The 15,280-nt window shown below is 43.2% G+C and overlaps 1 protein-coding gene and 1 pseudogene across 3 annotated transcripts in view, besides 3 other annotated features; both read right to left on the bottom strand.

The window, feature by feature from the left end:
* Window positions 1–5,678, bottom strand: part of USP8 (ubiquitin specific peptidase 8) — a 90,017-nt gene extending 84,339 nt beyond the window's left edge. For 2 of the 3 annotated variants that reach the window (NM_005154.5, NM_001283049.2), the window contains exon 1: window positions 5,569–5,678. The gene's annotated coding sequence lies outside the window, so the exon portion shown is untranslated. Of the gene's footprint in view, window positions 1–5,428 lie in introns of all 3 variants that reach the window. The other variant, NM_001128610.3, reaches the window with a different exon arrangement.
* Window positions 5,431–5,820: an enhancer, noted in NCBI's record as "active region_9393". NCBI's record gives its function as "activates an Ori minimal core promoter by ATAC-STARR-seq in GM12878 lymphoblastoid cells {active_cell/tissue: GM12878}" and the evidence as "EXISTENCE:reporter gene assay evidence [ECO:0000049][PMID:35858748]".
* Window positions 5,859–6,855: an enhancer, noted in NCBI's record as "NANOG-H3K27ac-H3K4me1 hESC enhancer chr15:50715425-50716421 (GRCh37/hg19 assembly coordinates)". NCBI's record gives its function as "activates a minimal SCP1, AML or CMV promoter by ChIP-STARR-seq in primed H9 embryonic stem cells {active_cell/tissue: H9 hESC(primed)}" and the evidence as "EXISTENCE:reporter gene assay evidence [ECO:0000049][PMID:30033119]".
* Window positions 5,931–5,980: a silencer, noted in NCBI's record as "silent region_6428". NCBI's record gives its function as "represses an Ori minimal core promoter by ATAC-STARR-seq in GM12878 lymphoblastoid cells {active_cell/tissue: GM12878}" and the evidence as "EXISTENCE:reporter gene assay evidence [ECO:0000049][PMID:35858748]".
* AHCYP7 (adenosylhomocysteinase pseudogene 7) lies at window positions 11,382–12,794 on the bottom strand (annotated as a pseudogene).

Raw genomic sequence — 15,280 nt, 5'->3', positions numbered from 1 at the left:
AGTTAAGTACATAACGGTAACAAAGTAAAGTGTGGCTTAATGCTGTGATATAGGCACTTAGCAAACCAGGCCAATGTCTGTTTGTTTTATTAAGGACCATTCCCAGAAACTAACAAAAGGGTAACTGTTTTCCAGAATAGATGTCTATCTACATTTATAACTTTAATCCATTTCTTTTGTCTTCTACCTCATTAATTTTTTAACAGATGCAAAATCATTAAGTAGGGAGCCAGATCGTACTTAACATGCACCAAAAACATAGTTCTCAATCCCAGCTGTATGTTAGAATCAGTTACCTAGAGAACTTTAAAAAAATATTGATGCTCAGATCCCACTCCTAAACAATTAAATCAGAATCTCTATGGATGAGACATACACACAGGTATTTATTTTCTTATTTATATATTTAAAAAAATACAGAGTCTCACTATGTTGTCCAGGATAGTCTCAAACTCTTGGGCTCAAGTGATCCTCCTGCCTAGGTCTCCCAAAGTGCTGGGATTACAGGCATGAGCCAACCTCGCCTTGCCCACATAGGTATTTTTAAAAAGCTTCCCAAATGAATTCTAACACCAGTCAAGACTGGGAACCATCAATATAAGAATGAATATAAACATGCTGCTAGGAGCAACAAAATAATATGAAGGCAACAATTTGTTTCCAGCTGAAATCAGCATCTTAAATCATTCAACCTACCAAAATTTTAAAAAATCATTTTCATTTTTAAAACTCTGTAATTGAGAAATTAAAATAACACCTCCAAAAAAAAAAAAAAAAACACCTCCAGGATGCTTATGCCCATAACTCTTGTTCTGAAATTGGTATTATAATGTGTAATTATTTCATTTTACTCTATTAAAAAGACATGTGGGTTTACACCATTATTGGTATGTTTCAGAATTTAGTGTAGTAGTCCCCCCTTATCCATGGTTTCGCTTTCCATGGTTTCAGCTACTTGCAGTCAACCACAGTCCAAGAATATTAAATAAAAAATTCCAGAAATAAACAATTCATAAGTTTTAAATTGTGCACCACCTCACTTCGCCCAGTCTGTGACATGAATCATCCCTTTGTCCAGTGTATCCACACTGTAGATGCTACCTGCCTGTTAATCACTAAGTGGCCGTCTCAGTTACCAGACTGACTATAGCAGTATTACAGTGCTTGTGTTCAAGTAACCCTCATTTTACTTAATCATGGCTTCAAAGTGTAAAAGCAGAGATTCACGTATGTCAAAAAGAAGTTGTAAACTGCTTCCTTTAAGCAAAAAGGTGAAAGTTCTCAACCTAATAAGAAAAAAAACCAAAAACCTCATGCTGAGGTTGCTAAGATCTATGGTAAGATCTTTTATCTGCAAAATTATGAAGGAAAAAGAAATTTGTGCTAGTTTTGCTGTCACACCTCAAGTTGCACAAGTTATGGCCACAGGGCATAACTTTTATTACACTATATTGTTGTAATTATTCTATTTTATTATTAGTTATTGTTGTTAATCTCTTGTTACTAATTTATAAGTTAAACTTTATCATAAAAATGTATATATAGGGAAAACATAGTATATATAGGGTTCAGTACTATCTGTGGTTTCAGGCATTCATTGGAGGTCTTGAAACATATCCCCTGCAGATAAGAGGAAGACTGCTGCATTATTAAAAACTAAATTGTAGGCCCGGCGTGGTAGCTAACGCCTGTAATCCCAGCACTTTGGGAGGCCGAGGCAGGTGGATTGCCTGAGCTCAGGAGTTCGTGACCAGCCTGGGCAACACAGTGAAACCCCATCTCTACTAAAACACAAAAAATTAGCTGGGCGTGGCGGCATATGCCTGTGATCCCAGCTACTTGGGAGGCTGAGGCAGGAGAATTGCTTGAACCCATCAGACGGAGGGTGCAGTGAGCCGAGATCATGCCACTGCATCCAGCCTAGGTGACAGAGCAAGACTCCCTCTCAAAAACAAACAAACAAAAAACTAAATTGTAATGTGTTAGTCAAAAGAGACAAGGCTTAGTTAACCCTTATTCACTATACATGAGAACTGTTTTACTTGAATTAGTATGGTATTAGTCAGGTGTGCTGGCGTGTGCCTGCAGTCCTAGCTACTTGGGAGGCTGAGGCAGGAGGATCACTTGAGCCCAGGAAGCAGAGGTTACAGTGAGCCAAGGTCATGCCACTGCACTCCAGCCTGGGTGACAGAGCAAGACCTTGTCTCAGTTTAAAAAAAAAAAGGGCCAGGTATGGTGGCTCACGGCTATAATCCCAGCACTTTGGGAGGCTGAGGCGGGCAGATCACCTGAGGTCAGGAGTTCAAGACCAGCCTGGCCAACATGGCAAAACCCCATCTCTACTAAAATACAAAAATTAGCCGGGCATGGTGGCAGGTGCCTATAGTCCCAGCTACTCGGGAGGCTGAAGCAGAATTGCTTAAACCCAGGAGGCGGACATTTCAGTGAGCCGAGAACTCACCACTGCACTCCAGCCTAGAAGACAGAGCAAGACTCCGTCTCAAAAAAAAAAAAAAAAAAAAAATTAGTACGGCTATAAATGTAGAATTCCAAATAAGTTTAATATAATATTTCATCATTCAGTACTAATAAATTTAATATTATGGAACTGTTGCAGGCCTTACTTTCCATTTATTAATCATATGACTTTGAACAAATTCCGTAAATCACTCCCAATACCACCACCACTCTTCAGTTTACTTTCATCTGCAAAATGAAATAGGAACTATTTGTCTGCTTCTATAGGGTGACCATAGGTATCAAGTGAAAAAATATACAAAAACATGCTTTGAAAACTGTAATATGCCATTACAACATAAAGTATTACGGTTAAAGAAATTGGAAATGGGTCAGGCGCGGTGGCTCACGCCTGTAATTCCAGCACTTTCGGAGGTTGAGGCAGGTGGATCACAGGTCAAGAGATCAAGATCATCCTGGCCAACATGGTGAAACCCCATCTCTACTAAAAATACAAAAATTAGCTGGGCTTGGTGACATGCTACTCGGGAGGCTGAGGCAGGAGAATGGCGTGAACCCAGGAGGCAGAGGTTGCAGTGAGCTGAGATCGTACACTGCACTCCAGGCTGACAACAGAGCAAGACTCCATCTCAAAAAAAAAAAAAGAAGAAGAAGAAAGAAAGAAACTGGAAATTGGAAGTGTACCTGATTCTTCATCTGCTATATAAATGCAAACAAGAGTCCAATACAACTTTGTCATCAAAATTATAGTAGGCAAAGCACGGCCACAAATTCTTTGACATTTTTCCTTTCAAAGGTGAGGGTTGTACGCTGGTCTTTGCTCTAACCAACAGAGTATGTTGGAAGTAATGTTGTGCGAATTTCTGGGCTCAGGCTTTTTGGGAGACTGGCAGCTTCTACTTCCTGACTCCTCAAACATGTATTCTCGGAACCTAGCCGCCATACTGTTCAAGTCACGTGAAGAGGCTATGTGTGGGCATTCCAGTTGACATTTCCAGCTGAACTCCTAGCCAACATCAAACGCCTTCACGTGAATTAGCCATTTTGGATGTCCAGACCAGCTGAGCTCTCGGTTGACTCCAAACTCAGCTGCTTATCTGAATACAAACGCATTAAACTCTAGGTGAAAACCACTTAGCTAAGTCCAGGCAGGCCAGAGAAACAGGAGAGATACTAAATTACAGTTTTAAGTCACTATGTTTTGGAGTGATTTGTTATGCAGCAATAGGTAACTGGGACAACAACAAGGTATTTTTTAAATGTTTCCTTAATTATATCTAATTTTATTAGCAACACATACCTGAAGACATTTTTTTCCTTTCACTTCCATAAATATGAGTGCATTTTCATGGAGAAAAGTTCGTAATATAGTGCTAGACTTATGAAAAAAATTTAATGTACTGGCTTTATTTTCCAACTGTCTTACCCAAAAGTCATTTTGATTATTTTCCATTATGTCCACGCTTTTTATTTTTTATTTTTTGAGACGGAGTTTTGCTCTTGTCACCCAGGCTGGAGTGCAATGACGCAATCTCGGCTCACTGCAACCTTCGCTTTCCAGGTTCAAGCGATTCTCCTGCCTCAGCCTCCAGAGTAGCTGGGACTACAGGCGTGCACCACCACGCCCAGCTAATTTTGTATTTTTAGTAGAGACCGGGTTTCGCCATGTTGGCCAGGCTGATCTCGAACTCCTGACCTCAGTGATCCGCCCACCTCCGCCTCCCAAAGTGCTAGGATTACAGATGTGAGCCACTGCGCCCAGCCACGTCCACATTAATAAACAAATGCCCATAAAGATTAAAGTCCAAGTAAATATATTAAAAAACGAAATGCTAAAAAAGGCACCTTTAAAACATTTTTGTTAGTTTTTCTTATACATTGTTTTCTTAAAAAAACAGATGTCTATGTGCAAAATTTCATTAATGAGAGGTGTATTTTTTTTTTAAACTACTACAGGGTCTTCACTAATATTAAAGATGCATCCAATGTGTCACAAGAAAAGGAATACATATTTCAAAGCAGCCATATCAACATGATAAAGACATAACACAACCGATATCACCTTCCAGATATGCTTAATAGTCCAGGGATATGCTGTAAGGAGAAACTACCCAAATCCATCATGAATGACATTCACCAACGAATCTTAAACAGAATCGGCTGAAATGCAAAAATCTGCTTACATAGCAAAGCCGCAGCAGAGCAAGCCTAAAACAGGAATACTTCCTTAACAAATACCACTTGGCATTTTTAATGGCTGCAGCAAGATATTTACAAAACTAACGATGCTTTGCAGATTCAGAAAAGGTAACATCCTTTAGATATAAATCCCTTTCATCTGAAACCCTCAGGTCTCTTAACAAATACTAAATTCCTTAGGCTCTGCAACACCTCCGTGTCAGGTAAATTTTTTGTTAGTGATTAAGTGACTTGTTCAAGGTCACAGAATGAACTGGAGGCAAGAAATAAACCCAGGAGGGTGGTCTGCAGCTTTATAATGCACATCACTGCTAGTAAGGATTCTGATAATTTCCAAGGTGGAGTGGCGGTGAAATTAACTTGTCCCACAACTCTAGGATGGAAGGCACTTTTTAGGGGAAAAAAAAAAAATCTTCTATTTGAGGAAGTCATAGTTTTAACTCTGACAAGCTTATAGGGTCTTTAAACTCAAACTTCACTAAAATCAAGTGTGACTGGGGAAGAAGAGAAACTGGGAAACAGTTTTAGGAGCTACAGTAAGGCCTGGGATTGTAGGCAGATTGCAGAAAAAAAAAAAAACCGGAAGCAAGAGGAAAGAGGTCAAAGTCGGGTATAAGTGTCCAAGAGAACGGAAGATTGGTCAAAGCCACCTTTTAAAACCAAAAAAACACACGAAACTCGCTTGGCAATCCTAGGTAGATGGCGTAAAAGACTCAAGGTTGGGCCTTTCCTCTCCACAAGCTGATTCTACCTTTAGGAGTTGTCCCACTCCTCTCCGCGGACAGAGCTTGTCTCCGGGGTAACCAGCAGCTGGTGGAAGGAAAGGCGTTCATCGTTCACAGCGGACGACTTCCCAGAGAACAGGTGCTAGGGCCCAAGACCCGCACTCACCGTGACGCCGGGCGCGCTTCACTAACGCCAGCCTTCTCGCCAAATGCCCATCTCCCAAGAACTCGAGGGAGAATTAGCCTTGGCTACCAGGACGGAAGCCAGCCCAGCTCACCCCCTTTTCCCGATTTGCATTGCGAGGCGACGCGTCGCGTCTCCAGACGTCACGGCAGGGGCGGGGCTTCGCGTGCGCTCCCTTGACTCCTCTCTCTTCCACCGCCCTCCCCTTTTCGGTGAGGGCCGCGGGGCGAGGGATGGTCGAGGGAGGGTCGAGGAGGACGTTATGGGTGGGCGGTGGCGGCAAGGGCGGGGTTTCTCTGAGTCGGGTCAACATAGTTGGCCGGTCCCTTACCCCCCGCACTGCACCCTGCATTTCCGGGTTGCAAGGCGGCGCCTGGGCCTTGTTGTGGAAGAAGCAAGGTTGCTCTTGCGTCCCTTTACTACGTTATTTTCCTCCTCAGATTGGAAATTAGAAAAAAGGGGATTTAACGCCCCTCTATTTCTGGCTAAACATTCTCTGAAGCCAAGCCTTTGGTCAAAGAAAAACAAGTATTATCCTAAAACATATTTTATGTACAATTTTTAACGTCACTTAAAAGGCCCCGGCGAGGCTGGGCACGGTGGCTCACGCCTGTAATCCCAGCGCTTTGGGAGGCCGAGGCGGGCAAATGATGAGGTCAGGAGTTCGAGACCAGCCTGGCCAACATGGTGAAACCCCCGTCTCTATTAAGAATACAAAAAATTAGCTTGGCGTGGTGGCGTGCGCCTGTAATCCTAGCTACTCCAGTGGCTGAGGCAGGAGAATTGCTTAAACCCGGGGAGCGAAGGTTGCAATGAGCCGAGATCGCGCTACTGCACTCCAGCCTGGGCAGCAGAGCAAGACTCCGTCTGGTTGGGCGAAGGCCCCGTGTAATAGAAACGAAATGAGACGTCTGAACTTTCTCGCGAGCTGATCTTTGTACTCTCTTAGAGAAAGGTGATTGGATGCTCCGGTTGCCTGTAAACATAAAATTGACTTGGGTGGAGCTTTAGGCAGTAGTCACTAAGTCCTCAGGAACATTCCAGGTGTCTCAGGGATGGGAAATCTGGCTAGCGAGGTCTAGTAAATGCTTTAAGTGAAAGTGTGTGCCACATGGTACAGTGTACACTGCTCGGGTGATGGGTGCACCAAAATCTCAGAAATGACCACTAAAGAACTTTTCCATGCAACCTGTTCCTCCAAAACTACTGAAATAAAAATTTTTAAAAATAAAAAAGGATAAAATAAAGAAAGTGTGTTCAATGAATTTGTGATGAAGGCCAGGTTGCAGTGGCCCAGGCCTGTAATCCCAGCACTTTGGGAGGCTGAGGCAGGAGGATCCCTTGATCCCAAGAGACAGAGACCAGCTTGAGCAACAAAGGGAGACCCTCATCTCTACAAAACAAAAATTTAAAAATTAGACCGGGAGCGGTAGCTCACGCCTGTAATCCCAGCACTTTGGGAGGCCAAGGTGGGCAGATCACTTGAGGTCAGGAGTTTGAGACCAGCCTGGCCAAAATGGCAAAACCTGGTCTCTACTAAAAATACAAACATTAGCTGGGCATGGTGGCGCGTGCCTGTAATCCCAGCTACTGAGGAGGCTGAGTCAGTGAATCGCTTGAACCTGGAAGGTGGAGGTTGCAGTGAGCCGAGATCGTGCCACTGCACTCCAGCCTGGGCAACAGAGCGAGACTCCTTCTCCAAAGAAAAAATCTAAGTTACAAATAGGATTTCCATTTTCCATAGAATCTAAAACTCCCCAAATTGCTGTGAACTACAGCAGTATTTTCTCCATTTGGTAAGAGACATAAGGACAGCTTAACTACCCTTCTTTATCCAAACTAAGTCAAAAACAGAACCCAGGTTTCCTGATTCCCACTCCCAAGTAAAACTAAATAGGTTTTATGTATGTTGCAGCTGTTGCACCCTTTTCCTCTTTGAAATAAAACTTTTCTATTTCATTGGGGAAAGAAAACATGACTGAAAGTCCAAAATGTGGCCAGGCGCGGTGGTTCATGCCTGTAATCCCAGCACTTTGGGAGGCCAAGGCGGACGGATCACGAGGTCAGGAGATCGAGACCATCCTGGCTAACACGGTGAAACCCCATCTCTGCTAAAAATACAAAAAATTAGCCAGGCGTGGTGGAGGGCGCCTGTAGTCCCAGCTACTCAGGAGGCTGAGGCAGGAGAATGGCGTGAACCCGAGAGGTGGAGCTTGCAGTGAGCCGAGATGGTGCCACTGCACTCCAGCCTGGGCGACAGAGCAAGACTCCATCTCGAAAAAAAAAAGAAAGTCCAAAGTGTTAGCTTAGAGCTCAAAACACTAGCTGCTGTTTCAAGGTCCAGGACATTAAATCCAGATGAGGGCCTTCACCTTTGACACCTGCCCTCGAGTCCTTCAGACATGTTGAGAGAGACTGAGACAGGGGTCTTGCAGGGTCAGGCAGGAAGGAGAAGCACAGCAATATACATATATAATATACATAAAACTGATTAGATTTGTTTAAGAGTGGTGGGGATTAGGGCCATGTGGAGAACTCATGGCCTGTCTACATTGTTGCCATGTGGTAATGGGGCAGAGTATTGCCAATTTTCTGATTTTCTGTGTGTGGGAAAAATCTCCAAACTGGTTTTTAAATTTGGGGAATATATATATATATATATATAACCCATATACATACGGATTATGTTAGTTGACAACAACAGTATACATAAAAAAATTTACAAACACTGCAAAACAAATAAAATCCAAGCCATCCATTTGTGACCATAGTCATAAGCATTAACTTAGCCAGGGGCTTTTAGATAATTCTCTGTTAAAGAGGAATTCTGAGAAAAGACTAAGATAACCAAAATGAACATAATGTCAAAGAATGAAATCATGGGAACAATTTGGATTTTGTTCCAAAGTCAAGTGTTTTTTAAAGAATCTTTCCATACTTCATGTTTTGTTCTATGGAGTTCAACCTTTTGACTTCCATGGCCCTTTAGATCTCTTTCGAGCACATTCCATGATTTTTCTCCTGATCATACTCCCTCCACAAAAACCTTTTTCAGCTGGGTGTGGGAGCTCACTCCTGTAATCCCAGCACTATGGGAGGCTGAGGTGCGTGGATTGCTTGAGGTCAGGAGTTTGAGATCAGCCTGGGCAACATAGCAAGACCCTATCCCTACAAAATATTAAAAAATTAGCCTGGCACAGTTGGTGCATGCCTGTAGTCCAAGCTACTTGGGAGGCTGAGGCAGGAGGATTGGTTGCACCCAGGAGTTTGAGGCTTCAGTGAGCTGTAATTCCGCCACTGAACTCCATCCTGGGTGATGGAGTGAAGACCCTGTCTCTTTGAAAAAAATAATAATAACGATAATTAATTTTTAAAAACCCCTTTTTAATTTCCCAACATTTTTTGGCTACTATGATCTCTAAGTGTTACTTCAAATAATTTCCAGTGAATCCACACTTGATGTTGCAGAGCCTGAGTTTGCTGCAGAAATATAATTTCCCACACTCTATGCCTAAAGGGGATTCAGAGCTATCACTGAAAACCAAAAGTATTGGTTTTTAAAGGTGCTTAGACAAAAAAGTCAGGAAAGGCACTCTAAATGTTTAACAGCAATCATCTTTGGGGTATGGGCATCTTGGTAGGTACAGTGTGGTGGATGTCCGTATTTTATCCACCTGAGAGATTATTTGAACTTGTTACACTGAATGTGTATTACTTTTATAATAAAAAATAATTAAGATTTAAAACAATGTATTTGATTAGTAAAAAGCAAATTATATAAATCAGTTTAATAATAATGTTAAGGAGGCCATTAAACAATGATTTGACCAAATCCATATCAAAGTTTGATTGAATTTTTTGGAAATCAGATATTGTGTTACTCTCTGCCCTGTTCTCTGTGAAGTCTTTTCCTTAAACAACTACAAACTTATATGAATAATAGTTCACAAAACTTTGTTGTCCTCTTCCTCTGTAGAAATTAAAACCAAATATATATAATTGAGAAATAATTATAATACTCTTCATTCCTATAAAAGTAATTAAGATAGACCTATAGGATTGTTGAGTATGGCTGCTAAATACAGTAACTAGTAACCACAGCTAGTTGTAAAATTAAAAATTCAGTTCAGTCAAAATATCCATATTTCAAGTGCTCAACAGCCCCTGGTAACTATTGGTTACCTTATTGACCAGCAGATACAGGCTACTTCCATTATTAAAGAAAGCTCTAATGGACAGCACTGGACTAGGGCATGTATTCTGTATTTTTCCCCTCACCCACCATCCAGTAATGAATAATAGTAAAGAGTAAAAGCAAAAAAAAAAAAAAAAAAGTATTGTAACAAACCAGGCAGCAGTATCTATGGCACCTAGAATCTAAGCGGTCATCAGCTGTTTAGAGGCATGGCCTGTATTTGATCACAGCTTCAATTTACATGCCATCCAGCATAAGCAGTAGTCCAAAATCTGGTTCATCTTCCATTCATTTAACAAGTACTTACTGAATGCATGTTCTATGCCAGGCATTGTTTTAGATTCACAATATAAAATTCCTGCTCAACACGGAGCTGACTTACATTCTAGTCGAGGAGACATACAATAAGCAAATACACGTAGACTATGTCAGGTGTTGTTAAGTGCTAGAAGTGTTAGAAGAAAAATAAAACAGGATAAAGGACTAGCAAGGACAGTGGTTTTTGTTTGTTTGTGGGTTTTGTTGTTGTTGTTGTTATTGTTGTTTTTGAGACAGGGTCTTGCTCTGTTGCCCAAGCTGGAGTACAGTGGCATGTTCATGGCTCATTGCAGCTTCAATCTCCCAGGCTCAAGTGACCGTCCCACCTCAGCCTCTCTAGTAGCTGGGACTATACACATGCACCACTATCCCCAACTAATTTTTGTATTTTTTGTAGAGATGGGGTTTCACCTTGTCATTCAGGCTGGTCTTGAACTCCTGGCTGAAGTGATTCTCCTGCCTAGGCCTCCCAAAGTGCTGGGATTACAGGTGTGAGCCACTGTGCCTGGCCAACAGTGATTGTGTGTGTGTGTGTGTGTGTGTGTTTTGGCACTAAGATTTTTATGTACCCACCTTGTTGCTTTCTTTAAACATTATATAAACATAAGCCAAATTATTTTCTGGGGTTGTGATAGAAACCATCTTGTTACAAAGTGGTGGCAGATCTATGCTTTTACGTTTTAATGGCCCCTCTCAACCTCTGGCTGTTACTTCTCTGTCTTTTCTCAGTTGTGCCTTAACAGTCTATTCTAACCCCTGTAAAACAAGGACTAAAAGTACCAACCTCATTGTTATGAGGTTTAAGAGAAGGCCCATCACTAAGCCAGGCTCTCAGGAAAATTCAAACAGTTCCTCCTTGCCCTTCAATATAGCTCCTTCTCATCTGTCATGGGCTGAGGAACCACTGAGCCTGTAAACCAAGCACAGGGGTATAAGTCCACAGACCAGGTGAAGGCCTAGATGGTAAAGTATTAATACATGGGTTTTGTGACTCCACTACCAACTTCCAGGCTAAGGAAGGACTGACTTAGTGAGCAGTTCCAAGACCACTGAGCTTATGGTTCCCTGTGGTTGCCTCCCTTGTACCTCCATCATGATCAGGGCTTGAGGAGGGTCCTCTCAATTCCCTTTGCCACACTTGGAAAAGCATGAGGGATGAGTGACCAGCCCCAGGGAGTCGATGGGGAATACTGGCAAGCCAATCACAAAGTTGGTGCCATTTGCTCTTAGGGAGGAGAGGCGGGGCCTGGGCAAGGACGACAGCTGGAAGGTGAAGGACAGGCCTGGCTCTCAGTAGTGGTAGTGATCCAGCTTGAAGAGACTATCACAGGACATGCCCAGGTACTGGGCCTGCTTCTCAGTCTGCTTGGTCAGTTTCATGTTCACCTTGCCCAGATGGGCTTCAGCCACTGCCTCATCCAGCTTCCTGGGCAGGAAGTGAACCTCAATGGGGTACTTATCTGAGTGGGTCCACAGCTCAATCTGCACCATCACATGGTTGGTGAAGGAGTTACTCATCACAAAGCTGGGTTGGTCCATAGCACAACCCAGGTAGACCAGCTGACACTCAGCCAGCAGGATGGTGCCACGCCCATTCTTTAGCCAGTACTAGTCCATCTGGAGTTGATGTTCACCTTCTTCATAGCATTCTTGTTGAGCCACCTGACATCGATTTTCACGTCAAAGTGTCCAGTGTTACACACGATGGCATCATCCTTCATCTGTTCAAAGTGCCTGTTGGGCAGCTAGCCAAGGATGATGTCAACACAGCCTGTGGTGGTGACAAAGATGTTGCCCTCCTGACAGGCCTTGTCCATGGTGGTCCCCTCATAGCGCTGCATGGCAGCCTGCAGTGCATTGATGGGGTCGATCTCGGTGATAATGACGTGAGCCCCGAATCCCTGCAGGGCCTGGGCACAGCCCTTGCCCACATCACCATAGACCGCTACCACAGCTACCTTGCTGGCAATCATCACACCTATGGCCTACTTGATGCCATCTGGGGAGGGACTGGTGGCAGCCATAGAGGTTGTCAAACTTGCTCTTGGTGACAGAATCATTAACGTTGATGGTGGACACCTTCAGGATCCCATTGGCCATCATCTTGTATAGGTTGTGGACCTCAGTCATGGTCTCCTCGGAGATGTCTCTGATGCCCGACAAGAGCTGTGGGTACTTAGTGTGAGTGAGGTTGGTGAGGCCCCCAGTGATGTCCAGAATCATGTTGAGGAGCTTGTCCTTGAAGTACAGTGTCTGCTTGGTGCACCAAAGGTACTTCTCCTCCGTTTCTCCCTTCCAGGCGTTCACTGGAATCCCAGCCTTGGCAATGGCAGCTGCTGCATGGTCCTGGGTGGAGAAGATGTTGCAGCTGGACCACTGCACTTCAGCACCCAGGACAAGGAGGGTCTCAGTGAGGACGACTGTCTCCACAGTCATGTGCAGGCAGCCAGTGATGCGGACGCTCTTCAGTGGCTTGGAGGCTGAGTACAGCTCCTACACGTGCATCAGGCCTGGCTTCTTGTTCTCCTCAGTGTCCAGGGCCTTGCATCCCCAGGCGGCCAAACCAATGTCAGCAACCTCGTAGAGTAGTTAATGAGACATTCTGGCGGTGCTTCTGCACAGAATGATGGACACGGGAAAAGGGGACCAAGCCTCAAACCGGGGACAGGCACAGGGCCGGCAGCACTGGGCAGGGCAACAGTGGTATTTGTAATGGGATAGTCAGGGAAGGACTCCCTGTGAAAGTGACATTTCCATAGAGCCTTTGGTGAAGAGAGGGAACAAGCCATGGATACATGTGGGAGAAGAGCAACCAGGCAGTGGGAGCAGCACAGGTGAAGGCAGTGAGGCAGGAAAAGGTGGGTGTGCTGGAGGAACAGCAAGGAGGCCATATGGCTGGCATAGAGTGAATGAGTGGGATCATGATAAGAGATGATCTCAGATGGGTGGGAAGGGAATGGAGCAGAGATTACGTAGGGCTTTGTAGGTCACTAAAATATGTTTATCCAGAATAATGCAAGAAGTGAATAATGTTAGTAATTTATTTAAAAATCATAGCTTTTATTCATATGATACAATTAGCAACATTGTATAAAAATTTTCATTCCAATTTTTTTTTTTAGCCAAAGCATAAGTATCCTGTGGTTTCTTTACTGAGCATTTATTCTTTTCTATCCATCTGTTTTTTATTGCCTAAAGACAATGATTACCACTGGTAAAGCCTTCACATAAAATAAATTTAACGCTTATTTGAGCAATAAAGGATTCATGAATGAGGCAGCACTCAAAATTGGAATAAGTTCAAGGCTGGGTGCAGTGGCTCATGCCTGTAATTCTAATACTTTAGGAAACTGAGGTGGAAGGATCGCTTGAGCCTAGGAATTCAAAACGAGCCTAGGCAACATGGTGAGACCTTGTCTCTACCAAAAAGTTAAAAAAAAAAAAATAGCCCAGCATGGTGGTGCATGCCTGTAGTCCCAGTTACTTGGGAGGCTGAGGTGGGAGGATGGCTTGGACCCGGGTCAAGTCTGCAGTGAGGTGTGATTGTGCCACTGCCCTCCAGCCTGGGTGACAGCACAAGACTTTGTCTCAAAAAAAAAAAAAAAAAAAAGAATAACTTCAGAGAGCTCCACTTTAACAGCATGAGCAGCAGCATGCTTATAGGCTGAACATGGAGGCAAAAGTAAAGAAGTTACTTCATTGGCTACAGCTAGGCATTTGCCTTGCTTAGGTATGATCCAGTGAAAGTCCCTAGTTATATAACTAACAGCTGGCTGGCTGTTTGTCATTGGCTGGTAGTTGGCTCTATGATTGGCTGAAGCATGGCTTGGGGTGTGTGTGTGTGTGTGTGTGTGTGTGTGTGTGTATGTTTAAATGTAATCAGTTTCCCAGAGGACGAAGAGAAGCTAAGCAGAGCATACATGCTCAAGTATTTACATCTCAAATTTACCCACCAAATAAATGACTTCCCTGGGAAGAGCTAATAAAGAGGTGCAGGAAGGTCAGGAGTTACACTAATTACATTCCCTCCACAAGGAAGAAACATCAAAAATGGGAGAGAAAGTTCCTCCCTCGCGATTGTCCAACAATCTAAAAAAAAAAAAAAAACTCTAGTTCACAGACATGTAAGATATTAGCATTATGAAAAAGAGGAACATTTGCTAGAATTTAAAGACCCAGAGATTTGACAATGCATATGAATAGCTAAAGATAATACACCCATATCATAAGTAATCTTTTTCTTTTCTTTTCTTTTTTTTTTTTTTTTTGAGACGGAATCTCACTCTTTTTGCCTAGGCTGGAGTGCAGTGGTGCGATCTCAGCTCACTGCAACCTCCACCTCCTGGGCTCAAGCGATTCTCCTGTCTCAGCCTCCTAAGTAGCTGGGATTACAGGCTCACGCCATCAGGCCTGGCTAATTTTTGTATTTTTAGTAGAGATGTGTTGGCCAGGCTGGTCTCAAACTTCTGACCTCAGGTGATCCACCTGCCTTGGCTTCCCTAAGTGCTAGGATTACAGGCGTGAGCCACCGCACCTGGCCCCACAAGTAATTTTTTTCAATTCTCTTCCAGATTTTCTTTTCCAGAGACAGGGTCTCTGTCTGTCACCCAGGCTATAGTGCAATGGCACAATCAGACCTCACTGCAGCCTTGAACTCTTGGCTTCAAGTGATCCTCCCACCTTGGCCTCCCAAAGCCCTGGGATCACAGGTGTGAGCACCATAGCAGGCCTCTTCCAGCTTTTTTTTTTTTTTTTTTTTAAATATTTGGGCTTTACTCCTGATTTCAGGCAATGATAAACTAAGTTTACATTAGCAAGAAAATGGTGACAGAGGGAAGAGGGGAAAAGTAAGAAAGGTCAGGAAGTAAGGGAATTAGGAACAAAGAAGAAAAGAGAAAGGAAGATGAGATAATTGTTTTTAGAAAGTAGGTGTAAATAGTCTCAGACTTTTTCTATGCATCTCCACTGCATTCTACAGAGTTGAGAGAAAGTCGATAAAAAATTTTAATTAGTTACAAGGAATTCCTCTAAATTAAGTTTTGGTTTGCTTGTGTAAGGTTTCTGGGTGCAGAAACAACCCCAGGCTAATGGCCTTCTGCTTATTTTGCTTTAACACCATATCAGACCAGTTGCATGGCCCATTAAACACTTTATCTCTAGAGGATGCATCACCAGACAAAA

Source organism: Homo sapiens, chromosome 15 (assembly GCF_000001405.40).
Source record: "Homo sapiens chromosome 15, GRCh38.p14 Primary Assembly".
Classification (NCBI taxonomy): Eukaryota; Metazoa; Chordata; class Mammalia; order Primates; family Hominidae; genus Homo; species Homo sapiens.
This window is presented reverse-complemented; position numbering and strand designations above follow the sequence as displayed.